The sequence below is a fragment of the Homo sapiens genome, chromosome 19 (genome assembly GCF_000001405.40).
Source record: "Homo sapiens chromosome 19, GRCh38.p14 Primary Assembly".
Taxonomy (NCBI): domain Eukaryota; kingdom Metazoa; phylum Chordata; class Mammalia; order Primates; family Hominidae; genus Homo; species Homo sapiens.
In genome coordinates this window covers 40,340,276-40,356,635 of record NC_000019.10, presented here as the reverse complement: position 1 = coordinate 40,356,635, position 16,360 = coordinate 40,340,276, and the positions used below count along the sequence as shown (strand labels likewise).

At 50.0% G+C, this 16,360-nt stretch overlaps 2 protein-coding genes across 17 annotated transcripts in view, besides 3 other annotated features; one reads left to right on the top strand and one right to left on the bottom strand.

Annotated features, from left to right (window-relative positions):
- The window catches only part of PLD3 (phospholipase D family member 3), a 29,791-nt gene extending 21,850 nt beyond the window's left edge, over positions 1-7,941 (bottom strand). Inside the window, exon 1 of one of the 2 annotated variants that reach the window (NM_012268.4) lies at positions 7,868-7,941. The gene's annotated coding sequence lies outside the window, so the exon portion shown is untranslated. The remainder of the gene's footprint in view (positions 1-7,867) is intronic. The other variant, NM_001031696.4, reaches the window with a different exon arrangement.
- Positions 534-723: an enhancer, noted in NCBI's record as "active region_14649". NCBI's record gives its function as "activates an Ori minimal core promoter by ATAC-STARR-seq in GM12878 lymphoblastoid cells {active_cell/tissue: GM12878}" and the evidence as "EXISTENCE:reporter gene assay evidence [ECO:0000049][PMID:35858748]".
- Positions 7,995-8,284: an enhancer, noted in NCBI's record as "active region_14648". NCBI's record gives its function as "activates an Ori minimal core promoter by ATAC-STARR-seq in GM12878 lymphoblastoid cells {active_cell/tissue: GM12878}" and the evidence as "EXISTENCE:reporter gene assay evidence [ECO:0000049][PMID:35858748]".
- The window catches only part of C19orf47 (chromosome 19 open reading frame 47), a 55,574-nt gene continuing 47,322 nt past the window's right edge, over positions 8,109-16,360 (top strand). For 6 of the 15 annotated variants that reach the window (XM_047438176.1, XM_024451364.2, XM_017026291.2 and 3 more), the window contains exons 1-2: positions 8,239-8,312; positions 14,746-14,797. In XM_047438176.1, coding sequence (XP_047294132.1) covers positions 14,779-14,797 — 19 coding nt within the window. In that variant the 5' untranslated portion in view covers positions 8,239-8,312; positions 14,746-14,778. Of the gene's footprint in view, positions 8,200-8,238; positions 8,313-8,346; positions 9,448-13,128; positions 13,162-14,667; positions 14,851-16,360 lie in introns of those variants that run through there. The other 9 variants (XM_011526460.3, XM_005258520.3, NM_001256440.1 and 6 more) reach the window with 6 other exon arrangements.
- Positions 8,275-8,364: a silencer, noted in NCBI's record as "silent region_10620". NCBI's record gives its function as "represses an Ori minimal core promoter by ATAC-STARR-seq in GM12878 lymphoblastoid cells {active_cell/tissue: GM12878}" and the evidence as "EXISTENCE:reporter gene assay evidence [ECO:0000049][PMID:35858748]".

Here is a 16,360-nt window from a genome sequence, read left to right as displayed (position 1 = left end):
ATCTTCCTGCCCCAGGTCCCCATTTCAAGAAGAGCTGTTGAACCCATCCTTCAGGTCTCAGCCTTGGTGCCTCCTCCTCCAGAAAGCTCTCCTTGACTACCCCCAGCCCTGGGCCTTGTCCTGGACCCCAACCATTTGTCGACTTGGTCCTGTGAGGGTCTCTCCAATTCGCCCTCCCCCACAAGCTCTGACTTAGTCTCTCCCACCTGGGTCCCCACTCCAGCCACCTCCCTTGGCTTCCAGACTCCACTCAATCCTTGCAATCCGACCTCCACGTGAATTTGACACATCCCTCTCCTGCTCAAAAACTCTGTGGCTCCCCGGTGTCCTCAGTACACAGTCTCAGCTCCTCACTGTGGCTGACAGGGCCTTGAATGATCTTCCCTGAATGACCTCTTTGGCCTACTCTCTCACCGTTCTTCCCACCCCAGCCATATTTATGATCTTTCAGTTCCTTGAACCAAAACCACACTTTCATCACCAGACCCTCCCACAGCTGCTTTCCCTGCCGAGCACACCTTGCTCATTTCTGTCCGCTCACATACCACCTCCTCCATGAAGCCCTCTGGGCTCACACAGTCCCCTGGGCCTCCCTTTCCCAGCCCTGATCCCTCTGCCTATGCCTCCTAGGGAGAGAAGACGGTCAGTCTGAAAAACAATTAAATAGGTCCAAGAAAGCATCATGAATGGTGAACACTTCTAAATTGGAACTAGAGAAATCTAAGCTGTCCCACTCCTGCTCAAAATCAGTGCTGTGATTAGCTGGCAGTGCTTGCTGCTGGCAGTGCCTAATGATGGGTTCGTCTCTCCTATTTGACTGGGAGACCTATGACGGCAGGTCCAGGCTATCTAACTCACTGCCATGTCCCCAGTACCATGGAGCATAGGAAAGTGCATAGCAGGTGCTCAGTGGCCAGTTAATTAATCTATTAATTCAACTAATATTTAATCAATAATGACTTGCTGACAAGCCCTGCTCCAGAAACTGAGATTGCAGGAAAAAAAAAAAAAAAAAAAAAAAAAGGAGCCGGCACGGTGGCTCACACCTGTAATCCAAGCACTGTGGGAGGCTGAGGCAGGCGGATCATCTGAGGTTGGCAGTTCGAGACCAGCCTGGCCAACATGGAGAAACCCGTCTCTACTAAAAATACAAAATCAGCCAGGCCCTGGTGGCGCGTGCCTGTAGTCCCAGCTACTTGGGAGGGTGAGGCAGGAGAATCACTTGAACCTGGGAGGCAGAGGTTGCGGTGAGCTGAGATCACGCCACTGCACTTCAGCCTGGGCAACAAGAGCGAAACTCTGTCTCAAAAAAAACAAAAAACAAAAAAAAAAGGAAAAAAAATCTTCTTAAAGATGTTATTCTACTAAGGGAGTGAGGGAGTGAAAATAAATGAGTGAAATACATGGAATGTGCCTTGGAAAAAAATAAAGCAGGGGAGGGAGACAGTGGCATCACAACTGCCAAAGGCTTATGTCCCAGTTCAAAAATAACAACAGGGTCGGGCATGGTGGCTCATGCTTGTAATCCCAGCACTTTGGGAGGCCGAGGTGGGTGTATCACTTGAGGTAAGGAGTTCGAGACCAGCCTGGCCAACATGGTGAAACCCCATCTGTACTAAAAATACAAAAATTAGCAGGGCGTGGTGGTGTGCATCTATAGTCCCAGCTACTTGAGGGGGCTGAGGCATGAGAATCGCTTGAACCTGGGAGGCGGAGGTTGCAGTGAGCTGAGATCATGCCACTGCACTGTAGCCTGGGCGACAGAGTGAGACTCAGTCTCAAAACAACAACACAAAAACAAAAATAACACAGCCGGGCACGGTGGCTCACACCTGTAATCCCAGCACTTTGGGAGGCTGAGGCAGGTGGATCACTTGAGGTCAGGAGCTCGAGACCAGCCTGGCCTACATGGCGAAACCCTGTCTCTGTTAAAAATACAAAAATTAGCAGGGCGTGGTGGTACGCACTTGTAATTCCAGGTACTTGGGAGGCTGAGGCAGGAGAACTACTGGAACCCGGGAGGCAGAGGTTGTAGTGAACTGAGCTTGCACCACTGCACACCAGCCTGGGTGACACAAGACAGTGTCTCAATGAAAAATAAAATAATAATAATAACATGGCTGGGCACAGTGGCTCACTCACACCTGTCATTCCAGCACTTTAGGAGGCCAAAGCAGGGAGATTACTTAAGCCCAGGAGTTTGAGACCTGGGCAGCCTGGGCAACAAAGTGAGATCTTGTCTCTACAGAAAAATAAAAAGCCTAGGCCAGGCGTGGTGGCTCACGCCTGTAACCCCAGCACTTTGGGAGGCCGAGGCAGTCAGATCACGAGGTCAGGAGTTTGAGACCAGCCTGACCAACATGGTGAAACCCCGTCTCTACTAAAAATACAAAAATTAGCCGGGCCTGGTGGCATGCACCTGTAATCCTAGCTACTCAGGAGGCTGAGGCAGGGGAATCGCTTGACCCCAGAAGGTGGAAGTTGCAGTGAGCCGAGATCGCGCCACTGCACTCCAGCCTGGGCAACAGAGCGAGACTCTGTCTCAAAAAAAAAAAAAAAAAAAAAAGGCTAAAAAATAGCTGGGGATGGTGGTATGCGCCTGTAGCCCTAGCTACGTGGGAGGCTGAAGCAAGAGGATGGCTTGAGCCTGGGAGCTTGGTCTGCAGTTAGCCATGACTGCACCACTGCACTCCAGCCTGGGTGAGAGAGCAAGACCCTGTCTCAAAAAAATAAAGAAAGAAAAATAATAACATGGTAGGGCCAGGTGTGGTGGCTCACGCCTGTAATCCCAGCACTTTGGGAGGCCAAGGCGGGCGGATCATGAGGTCAGGAGATTGAGACCATCCTGGTTAACACAGTGAAACCCCATCTCTACTAAAAATACAAAAAATTAGCCAGGCGTGGTGGCGGGTACCTGTAGTCCCAGCTACTCGGGAGGCTGAGGCAGGAGGATGGTGTGAACCTGGGAGGCAGAGCTTGAAGTGAGCTGAGATCACACCACTGCACTCCAGCCTGGGTGACAGAGCAAGACTCCATCTCAAATAAAAAAAAAAGAAAAGAAAAGAAAAGAAAAATAATAACATGGTAAGTTTAGGGCAAAGCAGTGTTACCATCTCTGTTTTTCAGATGAGGTGGCAGGGCTCAGGGAAATTACCTGCTTAGGTTGCACAGCATTGGTTTGTCAGTTGGAAATTTGTTTGTTTTTTGAGATGGTGTCTCACTCTGTCACCAAGACTGGAGTGCAGTGGCAGGATCTCGGCTCAAAGCAACCTCCATCTTCCAGGTTCAAGTGATTCTCATGTCTCAACCTCCTGAGTAGGTGGGATGACAGGTGCCCGCCACCACACCTGGCTAATTTTTGTATTTTTTGTAAAGACAGTGTTTCACCATATTGGCCAGGCTGGTCTCGAACTCCTGACCTCGAGTGATCTGCCCACCTCAGCCTCCCAAAGTGCTGGGATTATAGGGATCAGCTAGGAATTTGAACCCAGAGCTCAGTTGTATTCCAGGGCAGTACATGGTTGAACTAATTCATGAACAAAACAATGCAAAATCTCCCTTCATCACATCAGGCGAGGGACCCTGCAGCTTGAGGGAGGCGTGAGCCTGCAAAAGTGCAGGGTGTGGAGTGAGACAATGGGGCTTCTTGCATTCATTTTTGATTTTTTTTGAGACAGGGTCTCCTCGCTTTGTTGCCCAGGCTGGAATGCAGTGGTGGGAACACATCTCACTGCAGCCTGGAACTCCTGGGCTCAAGTGATCCTCTCGCCTCAGCCTCCTGAGTAGCTGGAACCACAGGTGTGTGCCACCATGCCCAGCTAGTTTTTTATTTTTTTGTAGAGTTGGGATCTCACCACATTGCCCAGGCTGCTATTGAACTGCTGGGCTCAAGTGATCTGCCTACCTCAACCTCTCAAAGTGCTGGGATTACAGGCATAAGCCACTGTGCCTGGCCTCAAAGCACTTAATATATTTGTTTTATTTTTTTAAATTGGACTTAATATATTTAATTTTCACAACAGTCCTCTTAAAAATCCCACTTAGGGAATTAAGGATCCAGAGAGGTGAAGTCACAGGTATAAAGAGAAATAGGATATGTGGTAAGCCTGGAACTGGACTTTGGTTAAAAAAAAAGAGAGAGGAAATGGAGCAAGGATTTGAACCCAAGCTGCCTCAAGCTTCCAGGGACAGATGCCACATGACAGCTGCCTCTCCTGTTGTTCATCATCTGTAGATCCCCTGCTGCCTGCCCCCCACCGTCTGGGACAGCAGCTGAACCCCGTGGTGGCGCCGGCCTCTCAAAAATTCCGTTAGCATTTCCCTAGCCTGCCCTCAAATTTTATGACTATTTATTTATTTATCTGAGATGGAGTCTTGCTCTGTTGCCCAGGCTGGAGTGAAGTGGTGTGATCTCGGCTCACTGCAACCTCTGCCTCCCGGGTTCAAGCGATTTTCCTGCCTCAGCCTCCTGAGTAGCTGGGATTACAGGCACAAGCCACAACGCCCAGCTAATTTTATATAATTTTGGTAGAGATGAGGTTTCACCATGTTGGTCAGGGTGGTTTCGAACTCCTGACCTCAAGTGATCCGCCCGCCTCAGCCTCCCAAAGTGCTGGGATTATAGGCGTGAACCACCACGCCCGGTCTCGATCTTTGACAGGGATATTTGAAACTTTCTCCCAACATAAAGGATATGTGAGTGCGGACTGAAGAAGATTCTGGCTCTCTTTCCAATAAGGCTGCCTCTCACTAGTCGATCCTGGGTAGAAGTTCTGGAGCTGCCACAGCTCAGGGTGATGGCTTCATGTCACACTGGACCGCATCCCTCCTCGGCTCCACATCCTCCTGTGGCACCCACCTCACTGGGAGTAAAAGCCAGCCTTCTGCATGGCTCACAAGGCCTTCCACGATGTGCCCCATCACCCCTCCAATGTCGTCTCTTGCCCCTCTCCTCTCTCACTGACCTCCTTGCTATTCCTTAAATATTCCAAGCTTGCTCCTACCGCAAGACTTTTGCTTTTGCTGTTCTCTTTGCCCAGCATGCTGTTCCCCCAGAGGGCCATGTCACTCTTTCTTTCTCTCTCTCTTTTTTTGAGACAGAATCTCGCTGTCGCCCAGGCTGGAGTGCAATGGCGCAATCTCAGTTCACTGCAACCTCCGCCTCCCTGGTTCAAGCGATTCTCCTGCCTCAGCCTCCTGAATAGCTGGGATTACAGGTGTCTGCCACTATGCCTGCCTAATTTTTTGTAATTTTAGTAGAGACGAGGTTTCACCATGTTAGTCAGGCTGGTCTCGAACTCCTGACCTCAGGTGATCTGCCAGCCTTGGCCTCCCAAAGTGCTGGGATTATAGGCATGAGCCACTACGCCTGGCCGTTTTTTTGTTTTGTTTTGTTTTTTTGTTTTGAGACAGGGTCTCCGTCTGTTGCCCAGGCTGGAGTGTATTGGCAAAATCATGGCTCACTGCAGCCTCGAACTCCCAGGCTCAAGCGATCCCCCCACCTCTCAGCCTCCCAAGTAGCTGGGACCACAGGCGCACACCACCATACCTGGCTAATTTTTGTAGAGATGGGGTTTCGCTATGTTGCCCAGGCTGATCTCAAACTCCTGAGCTCCAGCGATCCACCTTCCTCAGCCTCCCAAAGTGCTGTGATCACAGGCGTGAGCCACCGTGCCCAGCCCTACTCTCTCTTCTCCTTCAAGTATTTGTTTCAAATGTCACCTTCTCAGAAAGCTTTCCCTGACCACCCTATTTAAAACTATAACCTTGACCCCACATTCCCCATGCCCCTTCTAATACATCCAATAATCTACTTACCTATTTACCCATTGCCTCTTACCCCCACTAGAGTGTAGTACACAGTCCATAAGGCCAGATTTTTTTTTTTTTTTTGAGATGGGGTCTCACTCTGTCACCCAGGCTGGAGTGCAGTGGTGCGATCTCAACTCACTGCAGCCTCCGCCTCCTGGGTTCAAGCAATCCTCTCACCTCAGCCTCCCGAGTTGCTCAGATTTTAGGGGCGCGCCACCATGCCTGGCTAATTTTTGCATTTTTAGTAGAGATGGGGCTTCACCATGTTGTCCAGGCTGGTCTCAAACTCCTGGTCTCAGGTGATCCACCCACTTCACCTCCCAAAGTGCTTGGATTACAGGTGTGAGCCATTGCGCCAGGCCGAGATATTTTTGTCTGTATTGTTCATTGAGGTATCCCCAGTGTCTAGCAGTGTTGGGCACATATATAGTACATGCTTAAGAATTATGTGCAGAATGATTAATTTGTGTTTTCATTCCCATATTGCAGATGCAGTAACTGAGGCGCTGGGAGGTTAAGTTAGTTGCCCAAGATCATGCAGTTTTTTTTTTTTTTTTTTTTTTTGAGACGGAGTCTCGCTCTTGTTGCCCAGGCTACAGTGCAATGGCACGATCTAGGCTCACTGCAACCTCCGCCTCTCAGATTCGAACGATTCTCCTGTCTCAGCCTCCCGAGTAGCTGGGATTACAGGCATGTGCCACCATGCCTGGCTAATTTTGTATTTTTAATAGAGATGGGGTTTCTCCATGTTGGTCAGGCTGGTCTCGAACTTCCGACCTGAGGTGATCCGCCCGCCTCGGCCTCCCAAAGTGCTGGGATTACAGGCGTGAGCCACCGCGCCTGGCCTATTATTATTATTTTTTTTTGAGACGGAGTCTCGCTCTTGTTGCCCAGGCTGGAGTGCAATGGCGCGATCTCGGCTCACTGCAACCTCCACCTCCCCGGTTCAAGCCATTCTCCTGCCTCAGCCTCCCGAGTAGCTGGGATTATAGGCATGCACCACCACGCCCGGCTAATTTTGTATTTTTAGTAGAGACGGGGTTTCTCCATGTTGATCAGGCTGGTCTCGAACTCCCGACATCAGGTGATCCGCCCACCTTGGCCTCCTAAAGTGCTGGGATTACAGGCATGAGCCACCGCACCCGGCCGAGGGTGACATGGTTAATAACAATATTAGCCAAAAACACCATGTCAAGCTGAGCCTACCACAAGAATAAACTCACAGAATCGTCACACTCAGCCCTGATGTGGATGTCCCCGTGTGCATTTTGCAGATGAAGCTGGGATTGGAAAGGTGCCATAAGGCAGTCAAGGTATCCAGAGGTGTAGTGGTGGGGCTGGGATTCTGACACACCCCAGGTAATGGGCTGCAGTACCCCGTATGTTATGTGAGATGTGACACGGGGAAATGACGAAGACACGGAGGGAAGAAAAATAACTGTAAGGCTGGGTGGCTCCTTATGGGGAAAACTGGAAGCATGAGGAGTGGATGGTGACTGGTCAGAGGAACAGTGATGCCAAGGGAGGGACAAAGACACAAGGGGTAATGATGACGTAAGAGTTGCATTAGCGCGATTTAAGAAGAGCGATGGGGACAGTAGCCATGCGAAGGTGACTTGGGGGTATGATGAGGGTTTAAAGAGAAATGAGGATTTTATAAAGGAGAAATGGCAACAAAAGCAGGATGCAGGTAACATATGGCGATGACGAATTTAAAGGGAGCGATTACGACCTATGGTGGCAAAGAGGGCTTACAGGGAACGAAAGCGAGTTAAGGGCGTTGATGACAACAAGAGGAGTTGTGAGGATTTAAAGAGGGTGATGGCGACAGAAGGAGTTGTGAGGATTTAAGTGGGATGAGACAGAAGGAGAGGAATGGTGACATAAAGAGACCGAGGACGACATAAATTATAGCGTGGAAGACAACGCTATAATTATATATATTATATTCCATATATTATATTCCATATAATATATATTATATTCCATGCATTATAGCGTGGAAGACAACACGAGGAGGGTAGCCGAGGCGCCGCGCCCCCAGATCGCACAGTACCTGCACTCCACGTCTCCCACTCCGAGACCCAGCCCCACACGCACCTTCCAGGCTGTATCCCCGCCTGACGGCCCCTCCTAGCCGCGCGCAGGCGCACTACGGCTAGACTGCAGGCCGGCGGGGGCCAGGCATGCGCCTTTCTCATTGGCCGCGCCGCTTGCTAGCTTCGGGCGGAGGGGAGCGCCGGGCCGACGGTGGGCGGTCACGTGACGGTTACGACTGCACTCTCGCTGGTGTCGGTGGGCGGTCACGTGATGGTTATGGCCGCACTCTCGCTGGTGGCGGCCTGTTGGGGTAGAGCGGCCGCGGACGAGTCAGTTCAGCTTCCGGCGGTGAGAGGATGCTTCCGGGGCGGGCAGCCCGGGCCGGGGGAGGAGTGTCTGACAGTTGGCGCCGCCGGGAGGGAGGGCGGGCGGCGCGAGTGGGCGCGGGCCCGGTGGGCCAGGTGAGGCGCGGGCCGGGGGTGGTGGGACTGGGCCGGTTGCGGTAGGGACGGGTGGCGTCCGGGTGTCTGGACTCAGTTCGGGCTCCGTTGTACGGCTTCGGACTTACGATTTGTTTCTTTGAGCCTCAGTTTCCTCCCCTGTGGAATGGGGGTTAGAATCCGACTGTATCACCGGCTTTATAAATGGGAGTGAGAAGTCAGGTCGTGTACGTTGGATGCCTTAGCTCAGCGCCTCCGCATAACGCTCACTTCGTTACTATACTATTATTATTAGTATTGATGTTTGAGCGCTTAGTATGAAAAATTGTTGGGTTTGGAAGCCGTCGAATTTTGGTTCAAGTCCCGCTCCACTGTGCGGCAGTGGGGCCTGTGTCTTCGCTTCCTTGAACCCCGTTTTTTCTCATCTGTACAATGAGAGCAGATAGTCCCAATATCATAGGGTCGTCTTGAGGATTCTGATGAAATCTGTGTGTGTAAAGATTTTAAGCAGAGGGGCTGGCACAGTGAGAGCTCGTGGATTGGGACTATAATGATAATGATTCTGAGAGTCATTGGTGTAGCTGGGAATTCCAGGGAAGCTGGGGGAGAAAGCTCAGAGACAGCAATAGGAAAAACTTAGAATTGGAGCCGGGGAAATCGACATCCTGTCACTTACTATTTGACCAATTTTGCTGAGTCCTGAAGTACTAGTTTTTTTCTTTTTCTTGATAATGACTAGTGCATTTTTTTCCCCAGTAAGTTAATTTGAGAAGGCAAATTTGCATTGCTGTCTTCTTCTTTTTTTTTTCTTTGAGACGGAGTTTCGCTCTTGTTGCCCAGGCTGGAGTGCAATGGTGCAATTTCGTCTCACCGCAACCTCCGCTTCCTGGGTTCAAGGGATTCTCCTGCCTCAACCTTCCGAGTAGCTGGGATTACAGGCATGCGCCACCACGCCCGGCTAATTTTTTTTGTATTTTAGTAGAGACGGGGTTTCTGCATGTTGGTCAGGCTGGTCTCGAACTTCTGACTTCAGGTGATCTGCCCGCCTCTGCCTCCCAAAGTGCTGGGATTACAGGTGTGAGCCACCGTGCCCGGCGCATTGCTGTCTTCAATGGAAAACTAGCATTGCTGGCCATGAGAGGAAGGAAAAGTTCAGGTAAAATACAATGGAAACTGAACAGCCCATTACATTGTACACTGAAATGGAAAGATAATTGAAAAGGAATACTACGTATTCCCTTTGAATAGGGATACTGTTCAGAACCTGTACTGTGTGATTCCCTGTTGTCAGATCCCATGGACCCCCATTAAGTTGTCCTTATACTTGTTCCCAGCTCACACTTTGTATAAAACTAGCATTAAGTCAGTGACTGTCCCACTGTTTCCCTAGCTTACTGAAGATTTGTTTTATTTGATGCACACTTAACATCGCACTTAACCACCTGCCGTGCATCTTTGTTCTAAGGACTCTGTTTATTAACTCGTTTAATCCTTGTAACACCTTTAAGAATGGGTCCTTGGCTGGGCGTGGTGGCTCACGCCTGTAATCCTAGCACTTTGGGAGGCCGAGACGGGCGGATCACGAGGTCAGGAGATAGAGACCATCCTGGCTAACACGGTGAAACCCCGTCTCTACTAAAACTACAGAAAATTAGCCGGGCATGGTGGTGGGGGCCTGTAATCCCAGCTACTTGGGAGGCTGAGGCAGGATAATTGCTTGAACCTGGGAGGCAGAGGTTGCAGTGAGACGAGATCACGCCACTGCACTCCAGCCTGGGCGACAGAGTGGGACTTCATCTCAAAAAAAAAAAAGGGTCCTCTTTTTTTTTTTTTAAGATGGTGTTTTTTTATTTTTATTATTTATTTATTTATTTATTTATTTATTTATTTATTTATTTATTTGAGACAAGGTCTCGCTCTGTTGCCCAGGCTGGAGTGCAGTGGTGCGATCTTGGATCACTGCAACCTCTGCCTCCCGGGCTTAAGCAATTCTCCTGCCTCAGCCTCCTGAGTAGCTAGGATTACAGGTGCCCACCACCACGCCTGGCTAATTTTTGTATTTTTAGTAGAGAGGGGTTTCACTATGTTGGCCAGGCTGGTCTTGAATTCCTGACCTCAGGTTATCCACCTGCCTCAGCCTCCCAAGGTGCTGGCCAAGAATTGGTAATCTTACTTTTTTTTTTTTTTTTGAGATGGAGTCTCACTCTGTTGCCCAGGCTGGAGTGTAGTGGTACAGTTTCGGCTCACTGCAACCTCTGCCTCCTGGGTTCAAGTGATTCTCCTGCCTCAGCCTCCCGAGTAGCTGGGATTACAGGTGCCTGCCACCATGCCCAGCTAATTTTTTGTATTTTTAGTAGAGGCGGAGTTTCGCCATGTTGGCCAGGCTGGTCTCAAACTCCTGACCTTGTGATCCACTGCCTTGGCCTCCCAAAGCGTTGGGATTACAGGCATGAGCCACTGCGCCCAGCCACCTTTCCTTTTTTTTTTTTTTTTTTTGAGACTGAGTCTTGCTCTGTTGCCCAGGCTGGAGTGAAGTGGCGTAATCTTGGCTCACTGCAACCTCTCCCCCCCCCGCCCCGGGTTGAAGCGATTCTCCCACCTTAGCCTACTGAGTAGCTTGGATTACAGGCATACACCACCATGCCTGGCTAATTTTTGTATTTTTAGTAGAGATGGGGTTTCACCATATTGGCCAGGCTGGTCTCGAACTCCTGACCTCAGGTGATCCACCCGCCTCAGCCTCCCAAAGTGCTGTGATTACAGGCGTGAGCCACCACGCCCAGTTTTTTTTTTTTTTTTTTTTTTTTTAACAGTGACAGGGTCTCGCTATATTGCCCAGGCTGGCCTCAAAATCCTGGGCTCCAGAGATCCTCCTGCTTCGGCCTCCCAAAGTGCTGGGACTACAGGTGTGAGTTACTGTACCCGGCCTTACCATTCTTATTGTGCAGTTGAGGGAAGTGAGGTCAGAAAGGTTAAGCTACTTGTCCAGAGTCAGGATTAGGACGTGGTAAAATTGGGATTTGGATACAGGTCTTCTAAGGGCTTAGCACATGGAGTCTGGTATGTGGTAATCCCTTGAGTTTTGGGAGCTGCTGTCTTTAAAATCACTATTATAATTTTCACTATTCGGAAAGTCAGTGCTGGAGATGGGCTTTTAAGATTGTGGAGAGAGGAAATTGAATTCAGTAGGGTCTGTAGCACTTGGGGGAGAATACCAGTACTTAAAGGATTCTGGTTAGCATTAACTGAGACATTGAAAAACAGACCATAGTACCTGGCTGGTAGTAATCCCTCAATCAGCATGAACCATAGCCATTGGACTGCGTGGGGTCCAAGTCCTGCTGCTTCCTTTACTTGCTATATGATCTTGAACTCCTAGGCTCAAGGGATCCTCCTGACCCTAAAGTGCTGGGATGACAGGCCTGAGCCACTGTGCCCAGCCTTTTGCTGTGTGATCTTGGACCTGCCATTCTCATCTGTAACTTTCCGAGGGTGGTTGTGAGGAGCGACTGAGATGTGTATATGCTCAGTTCCTGGTACATAGTAAGCACTCAATGGGACCTATTCCCTGGACGTCAGAATCAGGAAGAACTTGTTTTTGAATCCCAGTAAGGTCAGTTGCTAGATGTGCCATTTGACAAACGACTGCACCTCAATGAGTCGGGGTTTTTCATCGATAAAAACAGGGCTAATAATAGTCCTCACTTGCTGAGCTGTTGGGATGCATCTGCATGATGCTTGGCGCTGGTCCTGATGCATAGTTAGTGCTTGGTTTGTGAGATGTTCTGTCTGACTTACTGAGACCTCTCCGTGCTGTTCTTTGAGAGATGCATGTTGTACTGTATTTTATTTCATTATTATTTTTTGAGACAGAGTCTTGCTCTGTCACTCAGGCTAGAGTGCAGTGGTGTGATCTCGGCCCACTGCAGCCTCTGCCTCCCGGGTTCAAGCGATTCTCCTGCCTCAGCCTGCCGAGTAGCTGGGATTACAGGCGCCCACCACCATGCCCGACTAATTTTTGTATTTTTAGTAGAGATGGGGTTTCACCATGTTGGCCAGGCTGGTCTCAAACTCCTGACCTCAGGTGATCCACCTGCCTCGACCTCCCAAAGTGCTGGGATTACAGGCACGAGCCACTGCTCCTGGCCTGTATTGTCTTTGGCCAGTGGTAAAATTCAGGAGGGAAATTGGATCTAAGAGTGTTGAGTACAGGACAGAGTGATGTCTGTGGTCATACTCATCAATAAGAGATTGAGCAGAAGGCCAGGTGCCTGTAATCCCAGCACTTTGGGAAACTGATGTGGGCAGATCACTTGAGGTCAGGAGTTCGAGACTAGCCTGGCCAACATGGTGAAACCCCATCTGTACTAAAAATACAAAAATTAGCTGGGTGTGGTGGCGAGTGCCTGTGGTCCCAGCTGCTCGGGAGGCTGAGGCAGGAGAACCGCTTGAACCCAGGAGGCGAAGGTTGCAGTGAGCCGAGATCGCGCCACTGCACTCCAGCCTGGGCGACAGAGCAAGACTTTGTCTCAAAAAAAAAAAAAAAAAATTGAGCAGAAGCCAGAGAAGGGCAAGATTAACCCTAGTGAGGATAGAGAAGAGAGTCTCATATGTGGGGACTTAGGGAAAGTGTCACAAAGTAGATGGCAGTGGAGCAGAAGGAAGGATAGGTTGCCAGGAGGAGACAGGCATTCCAGGCACAGGTGACATCCTCTAAAAACTGGGAGGCCGGCAAAGCACCTGTGTGGGGAAGGAGGCCTGGAGGATGAGACCAGGCACAACACCTCCAGGGTGCTTAGTAGGCACCAAGCACTGTCTCAAGTGCTTTTATTCATAGAAACTCATCCAGCCCTTATAGCAGTCCTCTAAGGTAAGTCATGTTTGCACCCTCCCAATTCACAAATGGTGACACCGCGGCCTGACTGTTGAAGTCACTTGCCGAGATCACACAGCTAATAAGTGGTAGAGCTGGATTTGAACTGTACAGTCTGGTTGCAGAGTTGTTACTCTTGACCACTCCATTATACCATCAAAATCTGTTAGGGGATGGGACAGGTCGTATGGGGTGGTAAACAGGAAGGTTCTGGGACAGAGGGCTTCTGCACCCCATGCGGGGGTGAGGGAGGATCAGTATTGGGGGCTGCGGTAGATAGAAGGGAACAGAGTGAGGGAAGAGGGCAGAGGAGCCGGGTCAGGGAAGAGGCAGAGGGCTAAGTAGGAAGGAAGTTTGGGCCAGGGCAGTGTGGGCCCCATGATCCTGGAGTCGCATAGCGTTGAATCAGCACATGAAAAAGTTATTTCCTTTAGTTCCCATTCAACACTGCTTTTAACGGAGACAGTCTCCATTGGTGCTAATATGTCCTTAACACCACCTTTCTACCATCTGCTAATGTAAGGGAAAATTGGTTTTCCATGTCTTCTCTGGGACGTCTCATGATCAGGTCGCCACTTCTGTGACCTGTCTCCTCCCAGTGTCCTTCCTGCTCGCTCCACTGCAGCCACACTGGCTCCTTGCTTTCCCTCCAGCATGCCAGATGAGCCACTGGCTCAGGGCGCTGGACTTGCTGTACCTTCTTCTGGAACACTTTTTCTCTGTAAAACCACATGGCTCATTGCTTCCCTCCCTTTAGGTCTCTAAATGTTGCTTTAGGTCTTCCCTGATCACTCTGCTGAAAATTACAACCCCTCCCTTCCCAGGTCCTCCATGTCTTCTCCGTGGCACTAAAGGCTTCCTAACGTACTATATTAACTGTTTGGCTTGTTTACTCTCTGTCTCCCCTGTCCCCTGTACCCAGCTAGCTGCTAAGTTCCATGGCTTTGTTCAACTTGGTATCCCTAAGTGCCTTACACATAGTAGGTTCTCAGTGAATAGGGTTTTGGGTTTGTTTGTTTGTTTGTTTGTTTGAAGACTAGTCAACTGCAGTAGTGAGAAAAGGAGAAAGAGTAGAATAAGGAGTTCCATCTGTAAAGGACTATGAACAGTCAATTGAGATAATTCACTACCTTCGGACCAGCCTTTTTTTTTGAGACAGGGTCTTGCTATGTTGTCCAGGCTGGTCTTGAACTCCTGGCTTCAAGTAATCCTCCCACCTTGGCCTCCCAAAGTCCTGGGATTACAGGCATGAGCCAGCATGCTTGGCTGGTATTTATTGTTAAAGTCTTGGCCAGAAGTGTCTTATTTCTGTTGCACTCCTTTTCCAGCCAACCTTTTGGGGTGTGTGTGAATGGAGCTGTGGACATTTGCTGTCCCTGGGCCTTGTCTCAGGCACAAGCGATGATGGTGGTGGCAGCTCTGTCCCAGGCTGACTTCCTGCCAGCTGCTCCAGGCTATTCCTGGGCGGTGAGCCCCTAGCCCAGGAACATTCCTCTGGCATGCAGACAGACAGGCACAGGAGAGGGACAAACACTCACAGCCGGCAGCAGCTCATGGGCTCTCTCCTCTCTTCTCTTTCAGGCTCCAGGGAGCAGTGTCAGGGCCAGGGAGACGATGGTCTCCGTGACTATGGGTGAGTCTGTGGCCTTCTCTCCAGGGCCCCCTCTCCCCACTGCCCTTTTTGAGGTATGGCCTTGGTGGGGGATGATGGGATGGGGGAGGGAGGACTGGGTCACTGGCAGGAACAGCTGTACTCTGAGGACCGTGGCAGGGTGGGGCTGGAACTGCTTGAGGCCTGCCCGCCTCATCACTGGATCTCTCTCCTGACTGTATAGTTTAGCTGTGAAGAACGTGGGTTATGAAGTCCAGCAGGTCTCCCACGTGGCCTCACAGAGCCTTGGTTTTCTCACCTGTGAAATGGAAATGATATTCACACATCCTGGGATTAAGGAGATTATAGCATGTAAAAGCTTGGGCATAGTTCTAAACAAACCTTAGGTGTTGTTATTATCACAAGCCTTAAGCTCTGTATTTGGGGATTGCTAAGGCACAGAGGTTAGTTGGTGGCTTTGAAAAATTTTGACATTTATTATAATATAGAAAAGTATATTATATATATTATATATGTATGTTTGTTGAGATGGAGTTTCGCTCTTGTTGCCCAGGCTGGAGTGCAATGGCACGATCTCGGCTCACTGCAGCCTCCACCTCCCGGGTTCAAGTGATTCTCCTGTCTTAGCCTCCCAAGTAGCTGGGATTACAGGCGCGTGCCACCACGCCCAGCTAATTTTTGTATTTTTAGTAGAGACAGGGTTTCACCATGTTGGCCAGGCTGGTCTCCAACTCCTGACCTCAGGTGATCTTCCCTCTTTGGCCTCCCTAAGTGCTGGGATTACAGGCATGAGCCACCGCGCCTGGCCCATAAAATATATTTGTATAGTTTTAAGAGTGATTAAAAAGCAAAATCTGAGTATATCCTTTTTTTTTTTTTTTTTTGAGACAGGCTCACACTGTTGCCCAGGCTGGAGTGCAGTGGTGCAATCTCAGCTCACTGCACCCTCTGCCTCCCAGGCTCAGGTGATCCTCCCATCTCAGCCTCCGAGTAGCTGGGACTATAGTCACACACCATCACGCCCGGCTAATTTTTGTATTTTTTGTAGAGATGGGGTTTCACCATGTTGCCTGGGCTGGTCTTGAACTCCTGTGCTCAAGAGATCCTCCTGCCTCAGCCTCCCAAAGTGCTGGGATTACACATGTGAGCCACTGCGCCTGGCCTGTATTCCTTTTTATTTGAGACAGAGTCTTGCTCTGTCGCCAGGCTGGAGTGCAGTGGCATGATCTCCGCTCACTGCAAGCTCTGCCTCCCGGGTTCACGCCATTCTCCTGCCTCAGCTTCCCACGTAGCTGGGACTACAGGCACGTGCCACCACGCCCAGCTAATTTTTGTATTTTTAGTAGAGATGGGGTTTCACCATGTTGGCCAGGATGGTCTCGATCTCTTGACCTCGTGATCCACCTGCCTCGGCCTCCCAAAGTGCTGGGATTACAGACGTGAGCCACCGCGCCTGGCTGCCTGTATTCTTTATAATTCCATTTATATAAAGCATAGAAGCAGGCAAAATCTATTTTGTTAGAAGGTGGTGGTTGCCTCTGGGAAGGAGTGAGTAGAGACTCTAAAGGTAATATAAAGGGTTCT